This window comes from Homo sapiens, chromosome 11 (assembly GCF_000001405.40).
Source record: "Homo sapiens chromosome 11, GRCh38.p14 Primary Assembly".
NCBI classification, from domain to species: domain Eukaryota; kingdom Metazoa; phylum Chordata; class Mammalia; order Primates; family Hominidae; genus Homo; species Homo sapiens.
The window spans coordinates 126,566,365-126,579,586 of NC_000011.10; the positions used below are offsets into that span (position 1 = coordinate 126,566,365).

The 13,222-nt window shown below is 48.3% G+C and overlaps 1 protein-coding gene and 1 long non-coding RNA gene across 18 annotated transcripts in view, besides 1 other annotated feature; one reads left to right on the forward strand and one right to left on the reverse strand.

Moving 5' to 3' along the window:
• KIRREL3 (kirre like nephrin family adhesion molecule 3) overlaps nucleotides 1-13,222 on the reverse strand; it is a 580,037-nt gene that overhangs the window by 143,007 nt on the left and 423,808 nt on the right. The gene's annotated exons all lie outside the window — the stretch shown is intronic.
• KIRREL3-AS1 (KIRREL3 antisense RNA 1) overlaps nucleotides 1-13,222 on the forward strand; it is a 68,564-nt gene that overhangs the window by 22,538 nt on the left and 32,804 nt on the right. The gene's annotated exons all lie outside the window — the stretch shown is intronic.
• Nucleotides 1,406-1,906: an enhancer, noted in NCBI's record as "H3K4me1 hESC enhancer chr11:126437665-126438165 (GRCh37/hg19 assembly coordinates)". NCBI's record gives its function as "activates a minimal SCP1, AML or CMV promoter by ChIP-STARR-seq in naive H9 embryonic stem cells {active_cell/tissue: H9 hESC(naive)}" and the evidence as "EXISTENCE:reporter gene assay evidence [ECO:0000049][PMID:30033119]".

Sequence of the window (13,222 nt, forward strand, 5' to 3'; positions counted from 1 at the left end):
TGAAGTGTCAGGACTGTGCCTTCTCCTGCTCTGAGCCCGTAGGACCAAGCACAGTGCCTGACACATGGTAAGTGCTCAGGAACAGTCTGCTGACTTAATGAAAGGGCTGGCTACAAAATATGGGACTGTGAAGGGTTCCTTCTGACTCGGGTCAGAATGAAAATAAGTGGGCTTCACTGTAGCACAATGGGTTTAGGTTAGCAGAGGTTGGTTGTAGAGTGAATGAAACTTGTAGCTCATTGGAAGAGAAGCCTAGATAACATAGTGGGATTTCCTCCTGGGAGAAATAAAAGGGGATGGCTTTTTAAATGGGATGGGTTTTCTTCCATTTCAGAGGGTGCAGATGGGATGTTTTCTAGCCTTAGAATTCCTTCATTCTTACTAGTAATGTAGTGATACGGTGGTATTATTTCATATTTGTGGGATACTTATTTTTTAATGACGCTGTCATATTCCCTTTCTCTTTAGATGCTCACAGTAAGTAGCTCTGTGACACAGGCAAGTCAGAAATTATCTATTTCATTTTGGTTTCACAAACTGAGGCTCAGAAGTAAAGTGACAATTTAAGGCCAACACACTAGCTGGTGATAGTGCCCATGCTGGAACCCATGGCTGATTTTTGGCTTGGTTCTTAGGGTAAAGTACGGGGTCGCAGAGCTGCAGATGCTGCAAATCAAGACAGACCAGAGACTAGAGCACAGATCAGCGGTGTGGGCTGGGACAGTGCTATAGGTCGAATTCCTCACCAATTCTGTGTTCCCCTCCTGCACCAAATTCGTACATTGAAGTCCTAATCCCAGTCCCTCAGAGTGTGACCTTGTTTGGAGATAGGAAATTTGTAGAGGTGATCATGTTATAATGAGGTCATTAGGACGGACCTTTATCCTGTGACTGGTGTCCTTATGAAGAGGAAAATCTAGTGATAGACACATATACAGGGAGACGCTGTAAAAACTTGAAGACAGCCATCTGCAATCCAAAGAGGGTGCCTGGGACAGATCCTTCCCTCCCAGCCCTCAGAAGGAACCAACTCTACTGACTTTGGACCTCCAGTCTCCAGAACTGTGGGACAATACATTTCTGTTGTTTAAGCCCCACAGCTGGTGGTACTTTGTAACAGCAGCCCTAGCAAATGAATATAGACAGGACAGGGAGGAGTGGGTCTTCTCTGAGGCCTGGCAATTTCCACTGGCCATGGTTCTCTGGAACCCAGCCCCCAGAGCACAAAGCTGCCTGCAGGGAGCAGCATCACACTCTGCTAAGGAGACCCCAGGGTGGCTAAGATCTGTTGGGAGTGGCGGCCACAAGTGACAGGAAAGAGGGAAGGTGGGGAGAGAAGGCTGGTTACGTGTCTGCATGCCTGGCACCCAGCGGCAAGCTGGGATGCCATTAGCATTCCTGCTTCCAGGGTGAGGACCGTATTGGCCAGGACAGCACTTGCTGGTTGCCTGGTTGCCCTGTTCAGACATTAATGTGCCCTCAAGTAACTGCAGATGGAGCCGGTGACAACGGATAGGCACCAGCCTCTGCTACCTCACCATTTCTGAGGCCATCAAGTGCATCTGGATGGCTGCTTGTAGAAGGCCTTCCTGTCCTGTCCCCAAGTTGCCCAGTCACAACAGTTCAGGTGTGCTTGCTGAAGACTAACCCCTTCCCACCTGAAGCTAGTAGACTCGAGCACGTCTCTGGAAGCCTATCAAACAAGAAACAGAAATTAATGGCAGGCAGTTTGGTGTGGCTGTAGCAGAAGAAAAAAGATGAGACAGGAGATCTAGCCAGGGACCAGATCCTGGAGTAGCCAATGAGCCTCACCCAGGAGTCTGGGCTCTCTCTTAAAGGAGGTGGGAGCCACGCAGAATGCTAGGCAGGGGAAAGACAGGTGAGACTTGCATTTCATAAAGGATCCCTTCAGCACTGGTGCAGATGATGGATGGGAGATGAGCTCAGAGAAGGGAGGCTGGCTGGGAGACCGCTGCCATACTCCAGGTGGGAGATGGTGGGCTTGCATCTGCTGCTTCTTCCTGCTCTCTGAAGATGGCCAGAGATCAGAAAGCAAGGGAAGGACCCTCAGTTTTATCCTGACATTCATCCCTGCCACGTTGACATAGAGAGCAGGGGAGGGGCTGAAAAAATAGCTCCCATTCCCCAGACAGTGCCTGAGATCATCTGGAGGAGACACCAGCTGGGTTTGGTTGGACTCACAGGGAGGCCACATGGGGCAGGGGAGGTTTCAGAACTAACAGAGCTGGCTGGAGCCATGCTCCAGCACTTACCAGTGAGCAACTCTTAGGCTTCTCTGAGCTTTGGTTTCCTCATTTATAAAACGTTGATTCTAACGGTAAGACCCTCCTCACATGATTCATATGAAAAGCAAATGAGCCAACACATGGGCAAAAGTGCCCAGAATGAAGTACCTAATAAGGGTGAGTTCAATAAATAGAAACAAAATACCAAATTCTACCCCCCTCGTTTTTTTCTTTTTCAGATATGAAAGTGGAGATGCAGAGAGGTGGAGTGAGCTCTCCAGGGTGATATAATGAGCTATTAGGTTGCATACTTCCCAGGTTAGCACGTAGCCAACAGTGACATGGACTGGAAATGTGAGGCCAGTCAGGAAGACCAGCCAGGTGGCTGTCATGGGAGAGGCCAAGGAACCAGAGAGCTTGGGAATGGAGAGGAAATGATGAATCAGAGACATTCCAAGAAGAGACAGTGGTGCTAAGTGACAGAGTGGGTCAAGCAGAGGAAGAGGGCAAGGATGACCCCAGTGTCTTTTGTGGGATATAATGGACAAAGAGACATGTCTGTATCAGAGTAGGGTGATGACAAAGGAAGCCTATTAAGTCACAGGTGATAATGGTACATTTCTGGACTTACTGTGTTCGAGGTGACAAGGTTCTAAAGTGAAGAGGACTTGGATGATCATGTGAGAAGGAGTTCTAGGCTGAAGAAATATTTTTAACCAGTTGCGTTGACCTCAGAGGGTAAACATTTTGTTGGGGGAAACAGCAGTTGGATCCTGTGGGTAGACTCTGCTACAAGCATTAATCCTACCCCTCTGGAACCAGGACACATTAATAAATGTGACTGGTGTAAAGTCCAAGGCACAGACACTCGCAAAGAGGCCACTAAGTGCTGGGCACTATGTGCAAGAGAAAAAAATAGTAGGCAAACTTCCTAGCCCAAAGATACTATAATCCAGTTGGCTATACAAGACATATACTTAAGAAAAGGTAACTAAAAGTCAGAGACAGGTAATAGTTCGGTAAAGAAAGTCTTGAGGCAGCACGCAAGTTATTTCTGCATGAATGGCAATTCTTACTGCAGGAGTCCCCAGGAGGAAAAGACAGCTTCAGGCTGTGGGATGGTGAGGGAGGTCCTTGCAAAAGGCCTTGAAAGCTGGAGATTGTCCCTAGTTTTGTCTTAGTTTTGGATGTCTACCAATGGCCCTCTCATTGGTTTTTGTCTATCAATAGCCATCAGTAGCCATTCTGCCCAGCGATGCCATTCTGATTGCAGAATGATGGGGTCTTCTGTTTGGAAAGTTTTCACTTTGATTCTGCTAAACTGCTTTCTGCATCGGTTCTGCCTACTCCTATTTTCAGCATAATTACTCATATCCCAGGCAATAATAATGCCCATACATCATGCAAAGATCATAATTTTCTGATCAACCTCTATCATAAAGAGGACTGAAGAGTGGAGTAGCAAAGGTATATTAATCCTGACTAGTGCCTGGCCCTGGACCTCCAGGACGAGTGATAAATGTTTAATTAGCCCAATAATACCTGTTTTATAATTTTTGGATCTCATTGCTTGCTAATTCTAAGTTTACTAAATAACTATAAACTTTACGTTGTTGTAAAGACATAATTGCTTCTTCATTGCTTATTTCATATGAGTTAATTATACTAGAACTAAGTTTTTCCCCATTCATATTATCAATTAGTTGTTTTAAACTATTGATTTGTATTTAATTAACTATGCTATTACATACCAATTAAATTCATATAAGAGGAATCTGAAACAGCTGTGGTCTTAAATTACGTTTTTGAAATAATGAGTTCTATAACATTTCATGTCAAGTTATTGTCAGTTAGGAAGAGTTGACAATCATTTGTGATAATTCCAAAAACTTGTTGTGACCCGCCAGCCCATCTCACCAGCTCCAGCAGGCAGCAAGCCTCCCTCACACACCTGCTGATCACGTGCCGATCAGCACCTTACAGCTTGGTAAGCAGTGGCAGTGCCTAACACTGGGATAACCCTTTGCCAGCCCTGCCTTCTCCAGCCTGCTCCAGCCATGCCATTATTTGGCTGGCATAGCTCTATCCCCCATGCGGCCAAGGCAGGCATTATCAGCAACTCCTCACCACCAGCTGTGGGGTCTAGAATTATCTGTGCTGCTATGTCTCAGATCCTGTGTGCCTGCAGGAAATCTACATGCCCATGTGGTCATCTATCCTTCGGCTTCTCCAAATCTCTGCTCACTGGCTTAAGTCTGTACATCTCAGGTGGGAAAAAAGACAGCAGTCATTTGCTGAGCTGCAAGGGACATTTAACTTTTCTCATCTCGTTTCACCCTCACAACACCTTTATGATCACAGGTGTTATTCTCCTTGTTGTTATTTAGCGAGAGATTGACACTTTAGAGGAGTGAGGAGTTTGTCCTGAGTCCCACAGCTGGCAAATGGTGAGGCTTGCCGTACACCTCCATGTTGGTGCTTGTTGGTGCGTCGTGCCATGCTCTGTCTCCATTCTCTGTGAGATTCGACTCCCAACCAATTCGGAGTCTCAGCCCTTTGGGCTGGCTTTTTGATACCTTGCCTAGCTCTTATCATCTTTCTCTCCTTGGAGGGCTGGGTTCCTCCCCTACCCTCAGACACTGCCTGGGATCTTTCTCCCAACTGATGAATTGCCTGGAATTCTGACACAGCCATCAGCTTTCTCTGGGGCACTTGGCCATCAACATGGGACCCAAGGTTGGCAGAGCTCACCCCACTCCTCTGTACACTGAAAGTGGGACACTGGTTACTATCTTTGGGGGCTGGGTGCAGCCCAGCCTTGCCCCTCTCCCTTGGCCAGCATCACCAAGTGTCTGCCACCTGGGACCAGGCTCATGTAGTTCACCATCACAATGAAAGCTGCCATGTGCTGATTGCTTATGCTTCATTAGTCTCTGGGCTGAGCACTTTGCATGCCTTACCTTCTTTATTCCTCATCAAAACTCTATAAGGTAAGTGCTGTTATTATTCCTATTTGACAGAAGGGAAACCGAGGATCCAAAAGGTTACAAAACTTCCCCAAGGTCACATTGCTAGTAAGTGCTGAGGTTAGTAAAGCTAATCATGAATGAGATTCTTTGGACTTCCAGTATAATCCGTTTGTGAGAGGGGTGGGGCGGGGGGATGTTAAATAATGTTGGTTAAAGAATTTTACGGGAAACAGTTTTATCCCATGTGCAAGGATGCCTCAGCCCGTCTCTGATTTAACGTATCTAATTCCAATGAGTTACTTGCTAGGTGGGGGAACAGAGAAATAGGATCATGAAGGCCATTCCTGTCCTCCAGTCTGTCTTCCACACACCCTGTGAGGAACAGGGGCTGCCAAAAGCCATATGCCTGAGGGCTGTTAGACTTTTCCTAACAGAAAGTTGGAAGTCGTGACTAGTGTTTGAATGGGGCCAGATGCTCGACAGCTATGTGTCCTACCCCTGGGGAGGCTCAGCCTGGTCCATTCAGTCCATCATGGCTGGGAGGCCAGGCAGGAAAAGGCATTTCTGCTTTCCTTATTTCTAGAAGGACCAAGAGTTCCCAAAAGACTAAGACTGAAGGCAATAAGGAGGCAGGCAAAGTCCCAGCCTGCCTCCAAGTATTCCCTTCCCCAGCCCCTACAGTTCTCTTGAGGCCAAGATCTTTGCAAAGCCAGAGGCCCAATAACAGGTTATACATACAAGACTGATTTGTGAAATTAGTCTTTGCCCAGATTAGTGAATGTGTGGATTATTAGCTTTGCTGTACAGGTGAGGCTCAGGGAAGCCAAGCAATTTTCCTAAAGTCACACAACTGGGAAATGGACGACCCAGGATTAGAACCCAGGCCCATTTGGTTCCAGAGCCCAGGCTTGCTGTGCCCTTCTTCCAGGATGTGGTCCCAATGTCATGCACACAGCCCAGCTGACCAGCAGAGACCCCAGTGGGAAGAGGGGACCCCCCCCCCGCCAAGCAGGTGCTGCTGATGGAGTCACAGGCATCACTGTCAGGTGGTCAGGAGCACTGAGAAGCCCTTGTGGGAGTGAGGCTCCTGGAGAGCCCCTTTCTCAGGGACTGGAGAGGCAGGGAGGTGGGGTGAGGTGGGGAAGCGTGGAGAATGCCTGCCTACTCAGGGTGTGCAGGCAGCAGGGGCGGGGCTGCTATTTAGTGATGGGCTTACAAACCTTCTTGTCACCTATTTATGGCCCACATAAAACTCTGATCACTGAGGATTAACTGAAGAGGGTCCTAGCAGGGCCACACGCTGACTTTAAAGAATTGATCACTGGAGTCAGGCAGTCATGTCCAGCCCCTGCCCTCAAGCCCCTCACATGCTGCCGAATGAGTAGGGGTAGGGGGAGATGTCTGCTCTCACTTGGCACAAGGGAAGGGGGCAGAGAGAAGAACAAAATGTCCTGCGAGTGGGGAGTGCAGGGTTTTTAGGGGTGGAGATGTGTGGGCTAAGGTCCAGTGGGCTGGGAATGCCCCCTCCACATTCTGGGTGGAAAAGCGGCACAGGAGGGAGGCCAGGGGACAGCACGTCCTTGCCCCCAGCCAAGTCACAGTCACAGCTGCCTGGTTCACAGTCCAGTGGGCATGCGTTGCCTCGCGGGGTGGGTCCTGTTCACCCAGGAATGCTGCGCACCTTCACTGGGGTGGAAGGAGGGAGGGCTCTCCAGCTCTCCTTGCTGTCTCTCCTCCCTCACACGTTTCCGCAGAGAGGACTGTCCTCTAGGGCATTGTAACTTGGGCCACCTTGGGAGCTGAGGCTGGTGAGGAGCAGAGGATGAGGAACTGGTGAGATCTCCCCAACAGCAGAGCCAAGCCCAGGCAGCTACCCGCTTCCCCCACCCACCCCAGCCCACACAGCAAGGAGGGAAAGTAGGCGGTGGGGTTAGGAGAGGACCCAGCGGAAAAGGCAGGGAACCCCGCTGTCCTCCCATTACTGAAATCCTCCTTGAGCCTTACATACCCCATTACGACGCTGTATCCTATAATTAAATTGAATCTGCCAGTTACCTCTCAGCACGGCAGCAATTCAAACTCATTGGAGGCTTTGTTTATTTTCATTTATTTATTTATTTAGTAATTATTTATCTAGCTATCCAGAGAGCTAGATGGAGGCCCTAGCCCAATGTTTCTTTTGTCTTCAAAAACAAGAAAGCTCAAATGCAGTCTCTCCCACTTCAGGTCAAGAGAGGAAAGGAATAACAGAGACCACAGGGTGGCAGCAGATCCGCGGGGGGACCTCTTGCTGGGGGGATATCGCTGGGACAGGGTTAAGGTCAAGATTGCAGGGGAAGTTTTGTCTGCCTGCCAGTCATGGTCTGGACCCTGCTCCTGATTCTACCCATTCTATTCTTGTCAGAGATACTTTATGGAAAGTCCACACATTCCAGAAAGCTCCATGGAAGCCCCTTACAGGCCCCAGACAAGGGGCTTCATTCTGAGGGACTAGAACATCGGTTGCGGAATGTGGAAACCAGGTTAACTGAGTATTATTGGCAACTAACACACCTGCAGAGCTTTGCAGTTGAAGAAGTAAATACATGTTCTTCTTTAACCCTAAACATTTATGGAGGACACTGAGGATGAGAGAGGTTCCACAACCTCCCTTGCTCAAAATCACCCTGCTGCTAATGGCAGGGCTAGGATTTGACCACAACGCTTGGGGTAAAACCAAACTCCCCCACCTCCTTCAGAGCCCCATATCCAAGCTGGTGGCCCAGCAACAAAAATCAAAGCTCTTTTCTTCTCTTTAATGATAACCTTTCAGCAGTGAGTGGGCAAAGGAGAGCATGATGGCTTTGAGTATGGAATCAACCTCAAACAGGTCCAGGGGAGCGATTCTGAGCCACCAGCCATCACTCAATAAGAACATGAAAGTTTATTTACCACGAGGCCAGCCCAGTGGGAGGCAGATTGCTACTATTAGCATGCCAAGGACTGCACAGACCCTGCACGTCAATAGCTGAGCCCCAGAGAAGTGACCCCTTTTGGGGTTATCCAATCTAGCAGCCCCACCAGAGCAAAGGACGAGGGTGGCTGGGATAGTGTGTGCTTACATGTGTGCACGCATTTGGAGAAAGGGAAGGAATTCCAGACTTGAGATGGCTCCTTAGACTTAAATCTCCCTTGAAAAGAAAATGCTGCTTATGAACCACTTCCACCCTTGCCTACCTACTCCTGCCAACCCATTCATTTGTTTATTGATGAGCTGCTTAATACTTCTTGGAATAGGAATGAATAGTACGAGAAAATACCTGGGTCCACACTGGCAATTCCTGGGTCTATTCTGGAACAATCATGCTTACAAGGTTTTCGGTGCACATGGGAGGTGGGGATCAGTGTGTCTCTGGGACCTATTTACCCCTATGAACCACTGGGGTTCTTGACTCAGGCTCTGTCAGTCCACAGAGGGTGGTTATGGCAATGTGGAGGAGGCCGGTGGCCCAGGGCCTGAACTGCAGGAGAATTTATACTTCTTGTTCATCTGGAGAAAGTTCTCTGGCCAGAGGACACAGTGAGGGAGCCTGGTTTAAAAAAAAGAGGCTTAAGCTAAGAAGCCCGGGGAGTAGGAAGTTCTATGCTACCCTGGCTTGAAGCTTTGGACAGTCGGGGCAGGTTCTCTCTTGGCTCCTGAGGCCAAGAGAAGCCAGCCTAGGAAGGTTGGACCATTGATCCCACAGCCCTGGGGCCTTCTCACAGTAGTGTGGGTGTCACAACCACCTCTTAGCTCTTGATCAGAGATATCCACCTTCAGTCTCCTCAATGTGTACAATGGAGAGGTCTTGGGCTGCAATAAGGACTGGAGATAATGTATGTACAATACTGGGAGGGAAGGGTAAAGAGAGTTGTGTTCCTAAACCCTGTCTAAATGTATGGAACCAAGGCCGGACACATTGTAAGCCCCTATAAATGGTACTTACTTATAAATATAATATATTATTAGAAAGTACAGGGGTATGCTAAAAGTCAGGAAAATAATAAGATACTCTAAGATTAGCCTGAGGAATCCAGTTCTGTAGCTTGAATAGAGACTGCTATGTTGTTGGAGTTAATACCCACAGCAGCTCAAGGAACAGCTTTGTTCAGCTCTCAGAGGAAGGGGCTGCCTGGTGGCTGTCCTGGGGCCGCTGTTCCTTCTATCAGGGATTCTCACACCCCTCTCAAGCATCACATTTCATTCATAGTTCAAGAGCCCCCAAGAATCTCCTCTGTGTGTGGCCTTCTCCACCCCTACCCTTGCAGATGGGCATCCCCTCCTCTGGACACCACCCCCCGCCAACTGCCTTATTCATACCTCTTCATTCATTCATACCTTTGCTATGAGACTCCCTTATAGATGCGACCACGGTTTTGAATTTTTGCTCCAACCCTCCCAGACTGTGAGGTGGGAACCATCTCTATTAATCTCTAGAACCTGGCTCAGAGCCAGGCACATAGTAGGCACTCAGTGCACATGTGTATGTGACGAGTAACTCCACAGACAGGGATGATCTACTCTAATGTTCAACAGATTAATATTTGATTTAGCACTGTGTGTCCCTTCAAAATTCTGGGGGCCAAGATGAGGGCTGAGGTCTGAGATCTCTGCTGGTTTGAGAATGGGACTTCCTCCTACCTTCATTTGTCCTTCCTTTTACAGAACTATAAGTCAGCCTCAGGTATGGGTCAGCTTTATGTAGTTAACCTTCCAGTCATTCAGGTTTTTATCTTTGAGTTTATTCTAATTTCATTCATTCATTCTCATTCATTCATTCATTCATTCAAGGAGAGCTCACTCTGTGTCAGTTCTGGCTGTTATGGATATTGTGATGAACAAGACAGAGAAGAATTTTTGCCTTCCCAAGCTTCCATTTTAGACAGCTTCTATGTAGTTCCTTTCCCTTACACGTAATTTAGAGGTAGGAAGTTTCATGTGGGTTTGGGCAAATTATTAAACATCCCTGGACCTCAGCATCTCCATCTTCAAAATGCTGTCACCAAACCCTCTCTCAGGCTGGCAGTGTGCCACCCACCACAGCTTGGCCTTGCATGGCTGGTGCTTGGTACCACCAGTTGGTTTGAATGTGGGTGCACGTGCATGTATGAGTTCATTAATTTGCTTCCTTTCTTCTCAGGCACTTAGATTTTTGATGCACACTGAGAGGGTCCTTTTTAATCAGCTGAGGAGCAAGGGATTCCTGAGCCACAAATGAGGCTCTCCCTACTGGAATGCAGAAGGAAGGACAAGAGATGAGCCTTTACTGAGATGCTGCTATCTGCTGGGCACTTTACACACACACAGTTATGCCATTTAGTCCACACTGTAACTGGGGAGGGAGTTGTTGCTTCCTGTGCTTCTCATATGAGAAAACTGAGGCTGAGAGAGGCTCAAGGGCTCCCATAACTGAAGACCCGTGCCTTCGCTGCTGCCACTCAACCTCTGGGTGGGGGATGGGGTGCTCAGTCCACGTGGAAGGAAGAGAGAAATAGAATGTCACAGAGCTCTCTTTCAATAAAGGGCTCAGCAAAATGTTTGTCTTAGCCGCGTTTCCTATCGACCCGGTGTGTGGCACATGGATTAAGTATGCAGTTTGGTGGTCTTTAAAGGATGAACATTTTCTCTAGGATCAATAAGCTGAGTGAGTTTGGGTCTGAATTCATCAAAATGTCACCTGAAACAAATTCAGTATCAGGACTTCTGCGCTCAGGTCAGGTCGATGGGTGGGGGCAGAGACAAAACCCAGGGAATACCAGGTCTCTGGGAAAAAGGTCCAGGGCATCTGTTGGACAAATTTGGGTCTGATAACTCAGAGTGGGGAGGGGGTCCTAGCTGGCAACCAGCATCCTAGAAACTAACCGCTGGCCTGGTACAGTGGCTTATGCTTGTAATCCCAGCACTTTGGGAGGCCGAGGCAGGTGGATCACCTGAGGTCAGGAGATCGAGACCAGCCTGGCCAATGTGGCGAAACCCTGTCTCTACTAAAAATACAAAAAAAAAAAAAAAAAAGATTAGCGGGGCGTGGTGGCAGGTGCCTGTAACCCCAGCTATTCGGGAGGCTGAGGCAGAAGAATGGCTTGAACCCGGGAAGCGGAGGTTGCAGTGAGCTGAGATTGTGCCACTGCACTCCAGCCTAGGCAACAGAGTAAGACTCTGTCTCAATTAAAAAAAAAAAAGACACTAACCGTCCTTTCTCTGGTCTAGACGTCATCCTTACCTTCAGAGAGAATAGCTGAGTGAGAAGCTGTGTGAAACTGCCCAGTTCTAGATTCTTCGAACAAAAAGTGTTTTTGAGGTTAATCAGTGCCATTCTCACACCCAGTGCTAAAGGATTCCCCCTTTAGCACCTTGGAGAAGTAGTCACACTGGTTTCCCTTGGATCGTTCTAAAGACAGGGAGCTCATTACTTTGGAAGCTGTGGTTTTCATTTTTGGAGAGTTTAAATAATTTTAGAGTTCTTCTATGTTGAGCTTAAATATTCCCTACAGCCTTGCAACTTTGCCTCATTAGTCCCAAATTTGCACTGTGAGGCAACACAGAATGAGACTAATCCCTCTTCCACCCAACTACTGAGAAGTTTAACAGACAATCTTTTCTTTTCCAAAATAAACAACCCTTAGGATGTTTCGGTCCTGGGATGCTTGCAGCCCAGGAAATGCTCCCTCCCTCTCCCCTCCAGCTTCTCTGCAAATGCAAGACTCTGGCTTCATTCCCTGGTCCTTCCTCAGTATCTCACAAAGAAAGAGGAGGGCAAAATGGGAATTCATTGGAAGAGATCCTTGGTTCACACGCTAGGAAAGAAAAGGGATGATCTTGGTCTTGGCGTGAACTTCCACATGAACGTGACTCCGTGCCTACCTGCTAATAAGAGCGGGAGTGTGGATTGTGCACATAGGTGGGGACGGGGTGAGAACTTGGGGTGTGGCGTGTCCCTGTGGGTGGACACATTGTGAACAGTAAGTATCATGAATGTGTGACAGCATGTGGGGCACGTGGGTGAGCGTGTATGCATGTACACAGGCTGTCTGCTCAGGTCCTGGGGGAGGGACTCAGAATCCGCCTCACACCCATGGAGAGTTCTCGCAATGGGTATGGCAAACTTCCTGACCAACAGGCTTCTGGACTTCTGACTCAGCACCAGTCCTGCTCCTTCTGTCTCAATGACTGTCCCCTGTCCCTGGAGATGTAAAAGTTCCAGGCTCTCCTACCACACCTAGGCTGGACTTACTGATTCCAAGGTGAAAATAAGCCATCACGTATTGACCATCTGTCAGCAAGTATCTACCCTGCAAAATACTTTTCACACACTCTCTCACTTATCCTCACCATGCCTAGAGATGGGACTTTGTCTCCATGTGACTTATGAAGACACTGAGGACCAGCAAGGCGAGACAACTGTTTGAGGCCACACAGCAACAGAACCAGACCTCGATCAAACCCAAAGCCCGTGCTCTGTCCGTGTGCTGCCTCCGAGAAGCCATGGCCAAGAAAGGTCTTTGCACCAGAGCTCACCAATGTCTCGGAGAGGTCCTCCCTTCCTGCCAGCCATTGATGATCCTGGAGGATGAACGGGTCGTCTAAAACAGATGACGCTGGTGCGGGCCCCAGGGAGTTCCACCAAGAGCCTTAGGATTTATCATGTGGGAGGGTAGTTAGTTCCCAAACGCAGGTGAGTATAAAATCCAATTTCTTAAATTGCATCCAGGGCCAAGGGGTGCAAGCTGCTCTGTCAGTTATGACTTCCTCGGGTACCTGAGACTGTAGCTCCTCATTTCCTAAATCCTCCTGCTTGTTGTCTGAGCTTTTAGCCCTCTGATTTACTTATTAGATTTCTACTGTGCCTTTTCTCTGCAGAGTGCTCAGTGTCCCCAGGAACCACTCTCTAATTTAACGAATAACTTCTCTCATGAGCAAATGGGGTCCGGGTTCATGCAAGAAGCCAGTGGAAGAGGAGAACTGGGGAGACAGAGAGTGAGAAAAGGGGC